Source organism: Homo sapiens, chromosome 12, assembly GCF_000001405.40.
Source record: "Homo sapiens chromosome 12, GRCh38.p14 Primary Assembly".
NCBI classification, from domain to species: Eukaryota; Metazoa; Chordata; class Mammalia; order Primates; family Hominidae; genus Homo; species Homo sapiens.
In genome coordinates this window covers 24,589,633-24,610,164 of record NC_000012.12, presented here as the reverse complement: position 1 = coordinate 24,610,164, position 20,532 = coordinate 24,589,633, and the positions used below count along the sequence as shown (strand labels likewise).

The window sequence follows — 20,532 nt, the reverse complement described above, 5'->3', positions numbered from 1 at the left end:
CAGTATAGAGGTTCCTCAAAAAACTCAAAATAGAATTACCATATGATCCAGCACCCCACTTCTGGGCATATATCCAAAAGAAAATAAATCAGTATTTCAAAGAGACCGCTCCACTCCTGTATTTATTATAGTGCTATTCACAATAGCCAAGATATAGAAGCAACCTAAGCGTCCATCAGTGGATGAATGGATAAAGAAAATGTGATACATGTATACAATGGAATATTATTTAGCCATAAAAAATAAAACCCTGTCACTTGCAACAACATGATGGAACTGGAGGACACTATGTTATCAAATATGCTCTCACTCATATGTGGGAGCTAAAAAAAAATTGAAATGGAGATAGAGAGTGGAATGACAGTTGCCAGAGGCTGAGAAGAGTAGTGGGGTGGGGGAGGATAAAGTGGAGACAGTGAATGGGTAAAAAAATAGTTAGATCGAATGAATAAGATCCAGTATTTGGTAGCACAATAGGTGACTATAGCTTACATAATTTATTGTGTATTTAAAAATAACTAAAAGAATGGAATTGGAAGGTTTCTAACACAAAGAAATAATAAAGGTTTGAGGTAGTGGACACCCCAATTATCCTGATTTGATCATTATACGTTATACACCTATATGAAAACATTACGTGTAGCCCCTAAATATACAGAAATATTATGTACTTATAATAATTAGAAATAAAAACTAAAAAATACCATAGTCTCACTAACTAAATGCATGATCTTCGCCAACTCACATAACTTCTCTCACACTCAGTTTCCCCAAAAATATAACAAGGAGATTGAACAAAATGACTTTTCTGTACAGCTCTGAAATTGACAAAAGTTTAGGTGTTTTTATATCAAAGATAGCTACTCTTGGGAATGTTAAATCAACAATTTTGGTGCCATTTTATCAGGCTAGGTTAATAAAACTGAAAAAGGAAACTCTGATTTATGTCGTTTGACAGTATTTCAAAACAAGTTGAAATGGAAAGGTTGAATAAGCAAATACAGGAAAGAAAGCGGCTCCCTAAATAAAATTTTCACATAAAAAATTCTTCTGATGTACCTCTATTTGCACAGAATGTTTTAACAGTTCTGAGGATTAGTCACTATCAACACAGACTAGTGGAGTTTAGGGTATCAAAAACACATGGGGTTATATTAAGTGGTAGACTTGAAAATATTCATTGGTGCTTGTCATTAGGAAAAAAAGAAACAATAGATGAAGTGTTAAAATGGTGGAAATTTAACAGGGAAACCTTGTGTTTTAAGTGCCACAATGCTGAAATAACTTCAAGAGATTGGCTTACACTCAAACAGGAAATTGACCAAATCAACTTTTGGCTTGAGATAATGAAGTGATAAAAGGAGGGGTGGGGAGAACCACAACTCTGAGTGAGAAGGAAGCAATGGAAGTTCTATGTTATGCTACAAGGCTGTTTCTGAAAAGCGTTCTTAATTAAACCTCTCCATTCAGTGCCCACAAAACCTAAATACAATACTGAATTTGTGCCTTTGGGAACAGGTATAATATAAAATAAAACAGCAGTAACAAATTGGACCAGCAAAAGCACCTCCATCTTTTCCAGACAAAACCCTACACCACTGTTCTTTATTGATGGTCCTATTTCAGGCAGTAACAAGGCAATTAAGAAAATAAAGTTATTGTGAAAGCAAAAGAAGAAGGGACCAAATGGCACAAACAAAAACACCTAAAAATGAGCACTGTAGTTCCCCAATTCCTGCCTACTCCAATCTGTCTGACTGGGATTGAGCTGAGCTCAGCTCCAGGACCTGGTATTTGGAACTTGACTTTAGGAGGCAAAGCTTGGTAGCAGGACCCGGCAGCAAATCATGTGAAACATCTAGCCAATATAGTAATCCAGCCAAGACTGAGAAAATAGATGAGGATCAAGCCAACTAGCCTCAGAGTCCAAAACAGAGTTAGTAAATAAGCACAAACAGCCTGGGATTAAACTAATAAGGCCTTTAGAAGTTGCATCAATGTACCTAAGAAAAATGTTCTCTCTTTCTCTCTCTGAAATTATTTATTTTCTTATGCCAACTTGAAAGATTGACATCAATCAGAGTTGCCACAGGACTCAAAATGGTACAGCATATTTTAGTTTGTACATTGAGAAGTCTTCAAGAAGCTGAATAATAAAAATGGTTAACATTTATAGAATGATTTCTATGTGCCTAGTACTGTCTTAGCACTTTACAAAACAAAATATTTTATGAGATAGGTACTATTGTCATCTCCATTTTACAATGACACAGAGAGTTTAAATAACTCACCAAAGGTCACAGAGTTTGAAAGTGACTGTATTAGTCCATTTCATGTTGCTACAAGAGACTACCTTGAGACTGCATAATTTATAAAGAAAAGAGGTTTATTTAGCTCATGGTTCTGCAGGCTGACAAGTTCAAGGGCATGGCCCTGGCTTCTGGTGACGCCTTTTGTGCTGTGCCACAATATGGCAGAGAAGGCCAAAAGGGAAGCAGACATGAGCAGAGAGAAAAAGACCTGAGGCGTTTCCCTCGCTCACTACTGCAAAACAGCACTAAAGCCACTTGAGGAATTTGCCCCCATAACTCAAACACCTTCTGCTAGGCCCACCTCCCAGCACCACCACATCAGGCATGAAATTTCACATGAGTTTGTTGGGGACAAACCAACCACATCCAAACTGTAGCAGTGGCAGACCAAGGATTAGAACCTGAGAAGTCTGGCTCCAACTGTTATTAACAACTACTGGTTGGAGTAGCCTGAGAGGGTGCCTAGATCCCCGATCTAGAATGAAAACCAACCTTGGGATGAAATTGATCCCTGGAATAATAGACCCAAATGCAGGTGCGGGAGGAAGTCTGGTCCTGGAGGGTGTGACAATAGTCAGTAGGAGGTGGTACAGTCCAGCAGTCAAACCCAAAGAGGTTCAGCCTGGGTTTAGGGTGTTCCAACAGGCAGAGCAGAAGCACTGGCAGGAAATTCACATTTTCAGCAGAGTCCCTGGCAAAGGTTTCAGGATGGCCCATGTTCAAGAAGAACTAGAAATATTAGAAATGACACCAAGATAGAACTCAAGCAAAGAAAATGAGAATGGGATCTACAAAAGAGATAGAATGAATCACTATGTTTGCACCAAGGCCCCATCTCCCCCGGGCTGCTCTCATCCAATGACTGAGTGTGGCAGGAATACTAAGACAGACCCTTTCCTGGGAGATTTGAAACTCCTTTGATGGGCTGCTTTGGTTTGGGGATGCCCCGAAAAGCCTTGCCACTTTCCTTAGATGGCATGGTGGTCTAGTAAGCTTCCAGTCAACACTCCTTCCGCCTCTGTCTCACATTAGGATCAATGGTGTCTCACGGTTCTCCCAGCCACTACACTTCCCCCTACCCCACCCTCATCTGTGCCAGCTCCCACCTTATTTCCTCTCACAGACATTTCCCTTAAAACAGTCCTTGTACCTTTAATCCCATCTGGGCTTTTACTTCTCAGAAAACCCAGACTAACAAAAGCATCTAAATTTGTATAGTGCTTTATAGAATATACGTATAGTTGTGCATATATGCTATGGCTTATATATGTAAATATACTTTCTCCTTTGACCCTGTAAGAATTCTGTTAGGCAAGCAGGGGAGGTACAATAACATCATTTTACAAGTTGAGAAATTGCAGCTCAGAGAGTTCAAGTGCTGTGTCTCTGGGAGGCAGCCTCTAAGATGATCCCAATGATTCCAGCCTCCTGATATTCATGTACCTGTGTAATCCCCTCCCCTTGAGGGTGGATTGGACTTATTGACTGACTTCTAATGAATAGAATATGACAGAATGAATGGGTTATCACTTTTAAGATTAGATTATAAGACTGCAGCTTCCATCTTGAGTGTTTTGTGTTGCTCTCTCATGGATCACAAACCCTGACGGAGAACAGCTGCCATCTTGTAAGGTAGTCTTATGGAGAAGTTCATGTGGCAAAAGACCAATGCCTGCAACAACCACGTGAATGAGTTTGAAAATAGATCCTCTCCCTTCAACCCCAGTCTGATGAGACCACAGCCCTGGCTGACAGCTGGACTGCAACCTCATGAGAGACCTTGAGCCAAAGACACGCAGCTAAGCCACACCTGGATTCCTGGTCCACAGAAACCGTGATGTAATAAATATTGATTATTTTAAACTGCTAAGTTTGGGGGTAATTTTTAAATAGCAGTAGAAAATTAATATAGTGTCCAATGTTCCAAGTGTGAGTAGGAGAATATGCCATTGAAATGTATATCAAAGCTTTGTCTAGCTTCATTTTCTTCTCATCTCTACCCCAATTTGCAATGCCACATTTCTCCATTCTTTCTACAAACAAACTTGAGTCACTAATTCTTTTTTTTTCTTTCAGTGGTTATGGTTGATTAATCATTTTTGCTGGGGTAACATACATCCCCTAAGTCTCAGTGGCTTTCAGCATCAGACATTTATTTTTGGCTCATGGGTGTGTCAGTTAATAATGGCTCTAGTGAACTTTGTTTAGGTCTGTTCAGTTTTGCTCTACGTATCTTCACAACCAAGGCTAAGGCGCCCAGGCTAAAAGAGCTGCCCTTATCTGGGGTGCTGTTCTCGTGACAGAGACATGAACATAAGAGCCCAAACTGAACCATCCAAATGCATTTACAGCTTCTGCTCAGAAGTGCAGCACACTTATTCACATTCTATTGGTCAAATCAAATCATTTAAGCAACCTAACAATGTGACAGGGTGGTATATTCCGCCTAGTGAGGCATGGGAAGTTATAAGGCAAAGGACATGAACTTTGGGGGTGGGGGAGCATGAATTTATAATACATGAGAACCATAGTTGGGGAGAATAATATAACCTATTACATATGATAACAAGTGGTTATGAATCTAGACCATGTCAATGGTTGAAGAATTAATGCTAAGACTTTTTTTTTTTTTACTTTTTTTTTTGAGACAATAAACCATGGTCAGTCATTCTGGATGTGGCTGCTTTGCCAATTCCTGTTCCGAATGGCAGTCTAGTATTTTCTACCCTTTTGCTCAACAGTTTCAGTGAGGATAGATGTTTTCATAATGTATCCAGACTGGATACGAACCTCACTGTCACCCAGACTGGAGTGCAATGGCATGAACATGGCTCACCATGGCCCCAACCTCCTGGAATCAAGTGATCCTCCCACCTCATCCTCCTAAGTAGCTGGGACTACAGGCATACACCACCACATCCAGCTATTTTTTTTCTTTTTTGAGGACACAGGGTCTCGCTATGTTGCCCAAGCTGGTCTCAAATTCCTGTGCTCAAGTGATCCTCCCATCTCAGCCTCCCAAAGTGCTGGGATTACTGGTTGGGGCCACCATGCCCAGCCGACATTTTAAAAATTAAAGCATGGGGCTGGGCGCGGTGGCTCACGCCTGTAATCCCAGCACTTTGGGAGGCCGAGACAGCCGGATCACGAGGTCAGGAGATCGAGACCATCCTGGCTAACACGGTGAAACCCCGTCTCTACTAAAAATACAAAAAATTAGCTGGGCGTGGTAGCGGCCGCCTGTAGTCCCAGCTACTCTGGAGGCTGAGGGAGGAGAATGGCGTGAACCCGGGAGGTGGAGCTTGCAGTGAGCCGAGATCGCGCCACTGCACTCCAGCCTGGGCGACAGAGCGAGACTCCATCTCAAAAAAAAAAAAAAAAAAAAAAAAAAAAAAAAAAAAATTAAAGCATGGAGTGTAATAAATTAGTTTCTTTAGGTACATTATGAAAACATCTGCCTTCACTGAAACTGTTGAGCAGAAGGGTAGAAAAATACCAGACTGCCGTTCGGAACAAGAGTTGACAGAGGAGCCACATCCAAAATGTCTGACCATGGTTTGGTGGTGATATTTTTTCAGTTATAACTTTTAGAGGTGGAAATTGGTTTCTTTCAATACCATGTCCATTTAAAAGACACTTTTTCTACTTTGTTTTTAAAATGGGCATGAAGTCCCATGGGAAAACATGAGATTTCCTTATTCTATGATCCATAAAATAGTTACCATACCCTATCAACCCTGAATTGGCCAGGAACATTATTAGAATTTCTGAAAAGTTGTTAACACTATCCCTTGAAGGAAGAAATAAGAAAAATAGAAGATGCAAATCTTTTTTTTTTTTCCACAACCAAGCGTTCCGGTAATGATTTTCCACTCTTTGCCTATCTTGATGCTTTAAATAGAGCCTAGTTTAAAAATATCTGGTATAATAAAATAAGAAATAGGCAGCTAGCAAATTAGGAAGTAGGTAAAGCTAATTAAAATAATTCTGAAGACTACTGGAGGTACAGTTCTACTAGATTTTTTTTTTTAGAAATGTCAATATTTCAACCTTTTCTGCACAGTATTTTCATAGCTAACTTTGAGCTTAACTTCAATGGCACCACCACACATTTAAACATAACTATCACAGTAATGATATATTCTGATGTCTGGCAGTGCTGCTTATTTAGGCTTCAGCCAGATGCTAAGCCCATGCCGTGTGTTTTTCTTTCTGACAGCCCTATACCAAAGTACAGTGGCCACAGAGGAGAAAACGGAGAAATTAACAACACAATGATGCACCTAGATATTCAACGCAAAGTCATCCTGCTGCAGGGGAGATAGTACTTAAGGAAAAGGCACATATAAGGTGAACTTTCTCTCCCTTTGCCTTAGGCTACCTAATGATGAGAGAAAGCAACATTTTCAGGTTTGCATGAGCTTAATTCCAACTTCCAGGCCAAAGATTGGACCATCTTTTTTTGTTTGTTTGTTTGTTTGTTTTTCTAGTAAGAGGAATAAGGAACTTCAGTTCTGTGAGCAAGTCCTAGCCTCCAGTTCTCTCAGAACTAGTTAATCTGGGTGGAAAAATACTTAGATGTAGCTACCTGTTTATGTTCAAGGTTATAAATTTGCAATGTGATTTTAAAATCTCAGCAACATCCTAAAACAATATAATTAGAATATTATTCCCTGAAAGTCTGTTAATGCAGGTTGATCACCCCTTCCGTCTTTTTTCTAGGTCCTCCCCTACATTAGGGGATCTCTAACGTTGCTTATGTTTTCATTTCTTCACACCTATTTTTACTTCATATATATATATATTTCTCACACTTAACCAGACATAAAACTGAAAAGCATTTTTATTATTTGTTATATTTATTTTTATTATTTGCCATTTTATATTTCAGGCTCTTTTAAAAGTAAACTTGCAATGTAGATAATTATATTTGTCTCTTTACATAGACTTTTTCTTTCTTACTTACGCACCTCATTGTTTATTGTGGCAAGGGGTCCTGATTAGGAGATTTCAACATAAATAAAGGATCTCTATTTCTGTTTCTATAATAAAACAACAGGCCGGGCGCGGTGGCTCACGCCTGTAATCCCAGCACTTTGGGAGGCCGAGGCGGGTGGATCACGAGGTCAGGAGATCAAGACCACGGTGAAACCCTGTCTCTACTAAAAATACAAAAAAAAATTAGCCGAGTGCGGTGGCGGGCACCTGCAGTCCCAGCTACTTGGGAGGCTGAGGCAGGAGAATGGCGTGAACCCGGGAGGCGGAGCTTGCAGTGAGCCGAGATCGCGCCACCGCACTCCAGCCTGGGCTACAGAGCAAGACTCCGTCTCAAAAAAATAAATAAATAAATAATAAATAAATAAATAAAACAAAACGAGATGTGAACCTTGGGGCGTTGACACTGAGAACCTCCAAGAGATGTGATTATAAACAACACTTAAACACTGAAGTTTTTAATAGGTGAGTCCCATGTGAAATGATATTAAATATGTTCTATTGAGTATTTGATTCCGTGAAGAACTAGGTTGCTTTGTAATTTTAAAGGAATTAATACTCATAAACAAAATTTTAAAATTATTTTTAAATACATAAATCCATCTATGGTTTTGGAGTCTCTCTCTCTCTCTCTCTCTCTCTCTCTCTCTCTCTATATATATATATATATATATATCTACTGGAGTACACAAACTTGAGGCCTAAATTTCCTTGTAAAACAAGTTGAATGACATCAAACTTCAAGTTTTATTATTTTATTTATTTATTTTCTGAAATCCATTAAACTTGCTATTCTTGGCAAGTAATAGGAACTTCAGTTACTCCTTCTCCAAGATTTGTCACACGGTTAGATATCAAAAATATAAGGCTTCAGATATCAAAATAGGCACCAATTAAATAAAACTGTACTTTTTTTTTTTTTTTTGAGACGGAATCTCGCTCTGTCGCCCAGGCTGGAGTGCAGTGACGCGATCTCAGCTCATTGCAAGTTCTGCCTCCCAGGTTGATGCCATTCTCCTGCCTCAGCCTCCCCAGGTAGCTGGGACTACAGGCGCCCGCCACCACGCCCGGCTAATTTTTTTTTTTTTTTTTTTTTTTTTTTGTATTTTTAGTAGAGACAGGGTTTCACCGTGTTAGCCAGGTTGTTCTCAATCTCCTGACCTCGTGATCCGCCCGCCTCGGCCTCCCAAAGTACTGGGATTACAGGAGTGAGCCACCGCACCTGGCCAAAACTGTACATTTGTAAAGGGTATTAAAACCTATTGAGAATGTGTATTTTAATATTTATGATTGTGATTTTATTTATTAATGGTTTGTTGTACTTGAAGATACTTACAAAAATACCCTGTTCTATTAAACATATTTAAAATACAAATTAATGAATAAACATAATGTTGTACTTATTGTCTAAGCATGTTGTTCTTTAACTTAGCAGTCACATCTTGGAGTCTGATGCATTGGCACTTTGTGAGTTATGAGACTCACATAATGCATACTTTACCATTCTTATTTTTGCACTCAAAATCCACACTCATACATGTTTGGATACTAAAATTACATGTATAGTTTTTTTTATATACACAAACTCATCATTTTAACCAAGGATATGAGTAATAACAACTACATAGTCATCCAGGGAATGCCATTAAAATCTGGCATAACTAACAGCAACATTTCATTCAAATTCTTTGGTGATTCAGAACACTTGATTAATGCTCTTTCCGTCCCCTCAACAGTGTTTCCTGTTCTTAGCCACATGCACAGCCACAAGCAGAAGCACCCAAACTCTGAAAAAAAAAAGCCATTATTCAAGTAGGACTGGAAACTAAGTCACTCTCAAGAATTCCAGTCACAAATCAAAAATTAGAGGGAGTCAGAGAAATGGAAATACCTGGCTCTCCATTAGAACTGTTTCCAAATATTTATTATGCATCTATTCATCACTGATTAAAAGAAACATTATTAACATGTTTGCTTCAAAGCAATAAAAATCAGCCACCATGAACATTATATAATTTATTTCTGTACAGTGCTACTAACAGAACTTGAGACTTGGTTCCATTTTTAGTCAAGGCTCTCTCGTCAATGACTAACAGAAGCAACAGAAGCCCAAATTAAATTGTCATATTGACGGTCCTGGGCTATGCTATTTGGCAACTCTGGTGAGTGGAATCTCCCAGCATACTAGGAAGGCACGGTGAAAACTGACATTTACATCAGACCGTGGCTACTCAGATTGCATATGGTAAAGAGAGTTATTGACAGTGGAACCATATTTTAGGCCATATTTTAGGTAGCTGCTGCTACCCATTAGACACAATTTTATTTTTATGTAATATAATTTCATTTCCCCAACAATGGCTAAATAATGGGTGGCATCAAACAAAATGAGGACCTCTGTCAAAAGGAGTCAACTCTTGGGTGGAGATGATTGTCTTTATCATGTGCTTTAAAGTTGGAATAGAGGCTCTTGCTCTCTAAATTCAGTCTTCATTGTCATGTGAAATCTGCCAGTAATAATTCCTTCTATTAGTGTACATCTTCAGATGAATGTTTTTAACACAAATAATTTAGAGAGGGATGCCCAAATTACTCAACATCTTCAAGCATATGAATTGTCAGATGTTTTATTCATTCATTAATTTTTTTCATTCATTCACTCACCTCTTTTATGCCTACCACTGAAATTTATAGACCACCATCTACATGTCATGCATGCTTCTATGTGGTGAAAATCTTGAGGAGTGTCCTTGAGTGGCCACCTCCGGTTAGCAGCAGAATACCAAGCTGGTAGTAGTACCCAAAGCAGGGAAAGAGGCACAGGAAAGGGAAAAGACATTTGCCAAATCCGACTCTGCTACTTCACAGCTTTGCCTAAAACTGGCAATGGTGGTCCCCACAGGTGTCCAACCCCAACCACAACTGGTGAAGTATGCAAAAGCTGCCTTGAAAAAGGGAAGTCGACTTCGGAAATACAGGATTCTCTAGAGTCATTTCATTGGTTGAGAACAAATTTTCATTAGCATTTAAAAAATGTTATGCACTAAATGCTTTAGTGGCAGAATCCAGTTAGTTTCATGGAGAAAATGCTCAACATACTAAGATGTACGTGTTCAGCAAGTCTAAAGTTGAGAATTTCATCATCTTGATCAAACCAACTCCTCTAATTTTGTTAAGTGGTTACAAACACAAGACCTGAAACCTCAAAATCACCTTCCTATACATTCCAATCTCATTCTCACGTCCCATATTGCATTATTGACCACGTTTTTTTGTTTTCAGTCTCCTTTTACAATCCTGTTGTTCTTCCCTGTGTGCCATCTCATTCTAAGTTAATATATTACCAACTTATTTCCCTGCTGTCAGTGTTTTTTGCCTTCCTAACCCTTCTGAAAACTGCCACTATAGTATCATTTTGATCATGTTGTTCACACTTTTGGTGCAATGTAAAGACTTCTAAAACTTAGCTTCAGACCCTTCTTGTACCTCAATTACAATTTGTGCTGCCACAGGCCTTTGACCCTGCTGAGCTTCAGAGAAAATCCTAACTCCTTAGCATGGTACACATGTATGTTTATTGCAGCACTGTACACAATAGCAAAGACTTGGAACCAACCCAGATGCCCATCAATGATAGACTGGATAAAGAAAATCTGGCACATATACACCATGGAATACTAAGCAGCCATGAAAAAAGGATGAGTTCATGTCCTTTGCTAGGACATGGATGAAGCTGGAAACTATCATTCTCAGCAAACTAACACAGAAACAGAAATCCGAACACGGCACGTTCTCACTCATAAGTGGGGGTTGAACAATGAGAACACATGGACACAAGGAGGTGAACATCACACACCGGGGCCTGTCGGCGGGGGTGGAGGCTAGGGGAGGGATAACATTAGGAGAAATACCTAATGTAGATGACGGGTTGATGGGTGCAGCAAACCACCATGGCACATGTATACCTATGTAACAAACCTACATGTTCTGCATATATATCCCAGAACTTAAAGTATAATAAATAAAAATAAATAAATAAATAAAAATTGTCCATGTCTATTTTGCCATCTTTTTATGTATAGCCACTCATTTTAAGGCTTCTGTTTCAGTCAAAATTGTTTACTCACCACTTCTAAATCACTCTTCATTTTTCTCCTTCCCTATATGGCTCATAATGGTTTTACAAACGCATACATAGCTACAAATTTGAGCTTTATGTAGCTTCTGACCGATCTTAAAACTTCTCTGAGTCTGATTTTCTACTGTAAAATTAAGTTTTATCATATCTAACCTCTCAACCATATAGGGTTTTTGTGAGGATCAAGTAAATCAGTATTTATTGACTTCATGTTGTATGCCAAACACTTTGCTGGTTTTAATAACATGTCTTATTAAAACTTTCCAAAAATTCTGTGACATAAGTAGATCTTATTTTCACTTTACAGATAAAGAAACTGAGGCAATAATTTGTAAATACTTTGCTATTTGACAACTATAGAAATGTATATATTTGTCTGTTTGTTCCTGATACTAAATCTTCTAGTTGACGCAATCTTAGTATTTTCTCCAACTACATTTTAAGTTCTTCTAAGGTGTAAATGATTTTGTGAATTATAACATGTTCTCTTGTGGTAGTTAATAAAGGTATTAATTGCTTTGTAAGTATTTCCAGATTTATTTTGATATACAGCTTATGTGATTGGCTGACGATTTTACTTTTCCATGAAAGGAGCTTAAAATCTTGCCCCCCAAACTTTTTGCCTATTGGATAACAGCCATGCACGTGAAAATAAAGAGGGATACCAAGAACATGAGATAAGCCTCACTTATGTGGGCTGCCTCAGAGTATGTATAAGTAGGTACAAATACAGATATTTCCTCTTTGCAAATGTTTTTAAGTGTATTAAATAGGTCAAACAAAGTTGGCCTAATGAAGGGGAAAATATCAAGGGTAATTCAAAACCATATACAGCATATTTTTACAATGTCTATTAGTGATGAGGTAACTGAGGATGCCATCACTTCACTAGTGATAAACACAATAGACGCAATAGTGACAGACGCTCATCAGACACTGGCTTTGAGAACGTGGCTTTGATGATTTACAATAGGGAAAGCAAAACTAGTTTATACTTGAGCAGGGATGTGTTTATTCTACTTATCTGAAGTTAAAGCCAATCATCACAGTGGGTTGAATGACCTTAAATCTTCATATTTGAGCAGAACTTAATGGACCATTTGCTGATAGATAAATTCCAGAAAATAAACCAGTTCCCAAATTTGTGCGTGTGTGTGTAGATACATATACACATATATATCATATATTATGTTATTAACTAAAAACAAATGTGTTTCTTTTATAGAAAAGTATAAATAATGGACTTTAAACAACTTCCTAAATAAACAAAGATGCTGTGGTCCAAAGGCTAGCTCATTCAACTGAATTTTTAAAGCCGTATTTCAAGTTTACCTAATAATTAAACATTCTTAGTTGAGGAAATGTGAATTTGATTTCTCCGTATATTTTCTTTTTCTTGATTAGAAAGAACATGCCTTGCATGGTGCTTTGATCACTAGAAGTAACCATTTTAGGTTGAGGTCCTGTAAGTCCATTCTTTTCAATATGAGACAGAACTCCTGGCACAAATTACATTTCCCTTATTGCATTGTGTTCAATTTCAAGTACCATTCTTACATCTTAATACAAGAAATATGTGTGACATTGCACCTTTTTCTGAACAATATGCTTGGAATGAAGTATGTTGTAAGGAAATTAATCCATCAACCTCTTAAGAGGGGATGATGGTTTAAGGAAACCCAGTCTGTCTTTTCAACCCATCAAGGACATGTATTTTGCCTTTATCCACTAGAGGGGGTAATGTTCTTCCATCCTAAAACACCATGGAATTATCCAGACATGATTTAAATTCACAGTGACCTTGTTTATTTTGAAATGAGGTCAATTAAATACTATATAATACAATGGATGCCAAAATCATCCATAAAAGTTGTTTTGAAAACATTTGTGACACAAAGATCAGAAGGATTTGTTGTTCTTGTTGATACTAAAATTTGCCAAATCCACGGTTGTAAAGATGGGTAAATTTGTTTTAGTTGTGAGAGGAGAATTTGTATAAAGTAATGCTTTCCATGACCATTCCAAAAAATACTATGCAATTTTTTATGTGATTGATTTCAATGTATTAGGGTTGATAATTGGATTGTTGTCTGTTTCGTTCAGTAAGGAAGAAGGTCATCTCTTTTTTATTTTCTTAAGATATATTTAGGAAATATTGGGAGAATTAAATAGATTTATAGAAGTTTATAATAAATATCATAAATACATAAATGAAATGTGATATAACATAGGTGATTAGTAGTACAAGGATTGGGATATGTGAAGATCAATAACATACTGCAGAGTTGATTTATTACATATAAATATATAATTATCACTGTTTATCATGGTAATGATTTTTCTTTTAATAAATTCCAAGTCAATAAGACAAGAATGTTTTTTTCTTTAAACCTACTGAAAAATAGTTTGAATTGCAGAATAGCTAATCCTATTTAGTTGTTAAAAGATAATCAAAATAATTGGTTAGAAATAACCAGTAGCCAAATTGATGAAATTTCATGATTATAATTAACTGTGCTATTAGGTCAGTTGTTTAGCTATTTCTATGAATAAGAAGAAGCCTAATCAAAATGCAGAATAATTAGTTCTGTTGAAAAGAAGAGATATAATTTGTAAAAAGCACGTATGTTGCATCAACCATATTTTTCATAATTCTAATTACTTTCTCAAATAAAACATACTTCTGGTTCCTAAAGATTATTTCCCTTGAGTAAAAGCTGCAGTAGTGGTTTCATATGGGTGAGTACCAGACTCACCATATAACTTTTGAAATTATTGATGCCTAGAGGGCCCCCTGTAGCAATGTGAATTCAGCAGGTCTGGAGTGGTTGCAGCACGGAAATTTTTTAAAAATTCTGCATCGACTTTAATCTGCAGCCCTGGTGGAGCATCACTGCATTGCATGAGGAGTTAATTGTACCTGACTAGGTTTTTCTTCTTGCTTTCCACCCCTAGAAGGCATACTATTAAAAATTCTTTGGAGACAAAAGAAGAAAATTATGGTAAATTATTACAACTTTTTACAGGAACACCCCCTATTGTATGAGTGAGAGTTAAGGCCTCAAAATACCTATGTGTGACAGTGAATTCCATATTATAGTGAAAATAAACATGCTTTTGAAGTCCTGTGTTGTTTCTTAGTAATTTGTGCTGCCTGGAGATCTTCCAAATACAGCTAACAAAGGCTTGTAGAAAGGACTTTCAGCATCATGAAAAAATTTTTGCTATAGACAAGAACGAATATTTACAAAACAATAATCCCAAACAGATCCAAACCCTATAAATAAGTATTGTTTTCTTGAATATTACCATAAAAATACAGTTATTTTAAAACTGAGTAACATATTTTCGTACTATATACATTAAAATAAATTATACTGAGGTGATAACTCAAATGAAGGTTTTATAATAACTGGGAAGTTAAATTATATGCAACCAAAAATAATGCATAGATGACATGCACATTTCATGTCATCTATATGTAATCTATAATTTATTTTACTATAAATAGGATCTTCAATACACATTATAATGGTTATTTATAGTGCATGATTTACTTTAATTAATATAACAACAAACAGTGGAAATGTAAAAAAAGATCCTTTTTTTTTCTCCTAGAGAGATTTTTTTCCACTCTGTTTTTCAACACTTAACTGAGAAAACACAGTGACTACAAAGGGCAGCAAGTTCCCAGGACAGTGGAAGGAATTAATGTGTGTCCAAATAATTGCAGTGTAATAGCACACCTGTATATATCAGAGATATTGGAAGCCATGAATGCACAGAAGAAAAATGTCCATCTCTGCCTATAAGAAGCCTAATGGTGAAAGTCATAGTTGTGGTCACGTTGGGGTGTGTGTGTGTGTGTGTGCATGTGCTGATAGGTGTGTGTATCAATAGATGAAAGAACAATCATTGAAGATTCAGAAACAGTCTGGGACTCATGAACTCATTCAATTTCATCAAAGTTTGTGGAGTTTCACTCGGTACAGACATAACATTTTCTGTCAAAAAGCAGATAATTCCCGAGGAGATATGTCCAAAATTAGCCAGAACATCAATGTAGAGTACGATCAACATGGAAATTGAAAGTGAGATAGAGTGTTTAAAGAGGGGAGATCTCCCCCAAGAGGTATGTGTCATTAAAGTCCAGGTAAGATTGTTTCTGGAGAAAGGAATAGCATCAAAAGTCAGAGGCAAGAAAGCATGGGAGAATACCTGGGAACAATTCTTTTCCCACTTCGGAGCATGGACTCTGCCCCTTCAACCCAGAGCACATCTTCTACTCTGGGAGCAATTTCTGAGCTCTTCCACCCAGATTAATACCTGAACTTATATTAGACTTATAATTAGAACCAGTTAAACATTTAATTATATGCTATTTTGCATTGTTTTCTGATTCTTTATTACTTTTTCAAAAATTCTTAACCCTCTACGTTATGAATTCTTTGAGGGCAGGCATTGATTTTATACACATGTGATGTCTTTCACATTGCCTACTATGCTATTCATGTGTACGGTGTGGATTTGGTAAGTATTTGTTTATTAACAGAGAACGTGACCAAATGTAGTAGTGGTAGGGTTGCCACATAAAATATAGAAAACCTAGCTAAATTTGAATTTCAGATAAATGACATAAATTTTTACTACAAAAGTACTGATGGGGCATGCTTATACTAAAAAATCATTCGTTTTTAAAAGTCAGAAATTAACATTGTTTTGTTTTGTTTTACTAAATCCGGCAGCCCTAGATGGTAGTGTATCTTTTATGGCTTTGTCAAAGTTTCCAATGTACTGAATATGAATTCCTAAACTTTCATCCAAGAATAAACTTACTAATAAGAATAGAAGAAAAACGACATTTGTGAACCAAAAAGCCAGTGACTGAAGATGAGCGAATGTACACAATTTGGTGATTGAACAGGAAAGGACGAATGTGAGAGCCTGCAGACTACACAGAAGAAAGGAGATGATACAGATTGGAGAAGAAAGTTGTCTGAAGACATAGATAGGATGGTGAGACAGCAAATAAGAACTTTGGGAGGCTGAGGTGGGCGATCACTTGAGCCCAGAAGTTTGAGACTAGACTGGGCAACACAGTGAAACTCTGTCTCTACAAAAACACAAAACAAAAAATTAACCAGGTGTGGTGGCATACGCCCATAGTCCCTGCTACTTGGGAGGGTGAGGTGGGAGAATCACCTGAGCCCAGGGAGGTCGAGGCTTCAATGAGCCATGATCGTGCCACCGCACTCCAGCATGGGCGACAGAGTGAGACCCTGTCTCAAAACAAACAGGCCAGGCGTGGTGGCTCATGCCTGCAATCCCAGCACTTTGGGAGGTCGAGGTGGGCGGATCACCTGAGGTCAGGAGTTCAAGACCAGCCTGGCCAATGTGGTGAAAACCCCATCTCTACTAAAAATACAAAATAGCCGGGCATGGTGGCAGGTGCCTATAATCCCAGCTACTCAGGAGGCTGAGGCGAGAATCGCTTGAACCCAGGAGGTGGAGGTTGCAGTGAGCTGAGATCGCACCACTGCACTCCAGCCTAGAGGACAAGAGCGAGACTTTGTTTCAAAAACCAAACAAACAAATGAAAAACAAAAAGAGGCAGGAGAAGCCAGTTTTTATGAAACAGCAAAAAGGGAATTAAACACTTAAAAGAGAAAAAAGAGCAAGGCTGAAAAATTGAAGAGAAGTGGAGTAGAAAAAAAAAAGCAGGTGATGAAAAAATAGAAATAGATTGAGGAGGTGTGAAGAATAACAGACCCCTCCCTTCTCTCCTCCCCACCTATGCGCCCAGGGGATTTATCTGTTGCTGCTGGTGGTGGTGCAGATGTCACCAGTCACCCTGGGAGCACAGATAAGGATTCACCTGCTCTTCTTCTCAGGAGAGCCAAGGTGCAGAGCTGGCCAACAATTACAGCAAAAGAAGCATCAAATCAACTGGAGTGAGGGAAGCAGACAGGGCTACGGAGAGGAAGCAGTGAGAGCATGCACCAATGTGCATACACACACACACACACGCACACACACAAAATAGAAACAAACCAAATCTCTGCTTACTGGGATGGTGTGGCAAAGATAAGTTCTAGGGAGGAAACATGGGCTAGAATAAAAGTCTTTAAAACACGGGTTCATATGATATACCATGACAAGAGTAAAGTGTAAGGAACATTTTTTAAAATTTATGACAAATAATTTGTATTTTATTGTCTGGTGGCTCTTTCTGAATTGCTCCAGACAGCATTTTTTTCTTCCCAAATTACACAGGGAAGGATAGAGAATACTGAATCTCCTATCATTGGCTTTATGTAGACTGGGAGACTTCTTTTTCCTTCCTTCAGGAAGTGTTGAGGCATTAGCCAACCAGGAAACAACCACAGGTAAGTAACACTTTTAATTCATCTTCAAAATTCTGTGACACTTGCCTAGAGTCCTAGGTCACTGCTTGATGGGCAGTTGTGTAAGCCAAGAACTTGCTTCCTCATTTTAGCTCCCTGCCTAGTTTAGTGGCTTATTGCTCATAATACACTGGTAAATGGGATGAAATACAAAATAAATTTGGATGATCTTGAAAATAAACCTTACTTATGACTCTGCTTCCTAACACAGATTTTGTATGTGTAGGGGAAAGATAGGAGGTGGTTTGCTGAAGAATTTTATTGTTTTGTTTCCAAAACTAATGAAGAACAAAGAAAATCTGAGCTGATGGCTCAAGTTTGTTTTCAATTCAACTTCAAAGAGGGAAAACCTACTTTCCTAGGGAGCTGTGGAAGGGCTGCTCAACTCTCCTGACTTGAAAACCTGTAAATCAGCTGTGCTGTCAAGAGACCACTTTCCAGGAATAAACCATCATTTTCTCCTCTGTCTCCTTCTTGTCTTTCATGAATACCATTAGAGAGAATTAAGAACTATAGGCTACATACTCTTGTATTTTTATAGATTATTAGTTGTATGTCCGAAAACTAATGTTAAAGTACTTGTGTCAACCTAGAAGATGATCTCTAGAGGCAAGCCAAAGGGTTCTGTCTTGTCTAGTTTATCATTATTTGTCGGAGACTTAGATGAAGATATAAAGGAATGCTCATCAAATTTGCATGTGAGTATTATTTTGGGAGTAGAGAGAAATCCATGTATGATGGAATTAACATCCGCAAAAGCCAAAACCAAGAACTCTAACACGTGAAAAGAAGGGCCAAATCTAACAGCATGAAACTTATGTAGGTAAATTTAGATCATAACCCTTGGATCTCTCTCTCTTTCTCTGACACACACAGACACATACAAACACACGCACAGCTGCATTCCTGTCAACTGAAAGGAGCATGGCTTATTGGCACCTGAATAACAAAGGTTCATGGATTTTTATTTCAATAAAACCCAGCAATATGATGTGGCTGCTGAGAAAGCTAATGGCCCTTTTGAATGTGGTAATAGACTTGTAATGGCTTGAATGAGGGAAGTGATTGTCTTGCTCCCAGAGCTGGCTGGAACAATTCTGGTGTGTTACATTCAGTTCTGAGGATCTGGGAAACATTGAGAAACTAGACTACATTTGAAAGGGAATAATCCTTGAGTAAGGAAATTCAAAACGATTCCCCATGAGTTGTACCTGAAATATTACCTATAGAAGAGAAGGGTCATAGGCAATGAGAGTTAGCTCAATTTATTCATCAAATATCTGAAGGGCTATTAAATGGAAAAGAAATCAGACATGTTCTCATGAATGGTAAAGCTAGAGCTAATAAATTGATGTTACAAGGAAATAGATATTGGCTCAATATAAAGAAATACTGTCTGTCTGAACTTAGAATTAGTTTACAGGAGTTCATTCCCCAATAGTAGAAATTCAAGGACAGGCTTGGAAAACCACTGGGTTAGGTGTTAAGGGATTCCTCAAAACGATAAAGGTATTAGATAATATTTAAGGCCCAGGAAACAGTATAATCTGGTCAGTAAATTTACATTTTCTCAAGTCAAACAAATTGGATCCAAAATTTAGTCTATGTGAAACTGACAAAATATGTAACGGCTTTTTTCCTCAGTTTCATCTTCTATAAAATAAAAATATTAATAGAAATTAATTCAGGATTATTAGGAAGATTAACTGAAAACATGCATGTATAGTGATTAACACAGAGTAATTATTTAATAGATGATGCTTTGCTTCATTTTAAGATTTAGGTACCTTCCAATCCAGGCAGTTGGAACTCATTTGTTATAAAAGCTTATGTTTCATCTGGACAGTCTGCAATGGGTCTTCTTTCAAAATTCCCTAGCGGTACAGAGCTTGGCATTAATTAATTAATTTATTTGTCATCCCTCAGCGTGATACAGAAGCTATGAAGAAGGCTTAGAATTTATTCACACTCTGCCAGCTAAGACGGGAGTGCAGTTATAGCGTAATAAGTACCTAGAAAATGTTTATTTCTCGTCAGTAGTAATGTTACCTTGGGAAAATGTAGAAGAGAAGAGGTAAATACATAGGTCTTGATTTCAATCTTATGACAAACTCCTCACATATAATTTGCACCCCATTAATTAACTTAGAGTGTTTTTTATCATTGCTTCTGATGTTTGCTATTAAAATATAAACAGTACTACAAGGGGGAGCTACGACTCTGAAAATATGAGTTATGGGCAATCGGAAGAGACGTTCTGGATAAGAAGACAGGGAGGGATGATGCATCCAGGCTAGTGGGGGAAGCAATGAGTACAAAATATTTGGATCACAGGGCAATAGCATTCAAAAATGGACCTCCAGATGTATGATATACATTACCTTCTTCTCTAAAGATAGTCTTTGCACACAAGAAATATATATAGGTATACATTTGTGTATATATATATGCAAAGATTATACCTTTAGAGAAGAAGGTAATATATACTGAACACCTTTGCATACATGTGTATATAACTATGTGTATTCATGTATGTGTATGTGTATATATGCAGGGATTTGGGATATTAAGCATATCATGGATATGCAACCTGTGCAGTTGCACAGGGCCACATGCATAGCAGGACCCCACTCTTGGTTTAATTCTATGCTGTATCAGGATTAAAATTCTTAGTAATTTTTGA

The 20,532-nt window shown here is 37.6% G+C and overlaps 1 annotated feature.

Moving 5' to 3' along the window:
- Positions 17,926-18,427: an enhancer, noted in NCBI's record as "NANOG hESC enhancer chr12:24744672-24745173 (GRCh37/hg19 assembly coordinates)". NCBI's record gives its function as "activates a minimal SCP1, AML or CMV promoter by ChIP-STARR-seq in primed H9 embryonic stem cells {active_cell/tissue: H9 hESC(primed)}" and the evidence as "EXISTENCE:reporter gene assay evidence [ECO:0000049][PMID:30033119]".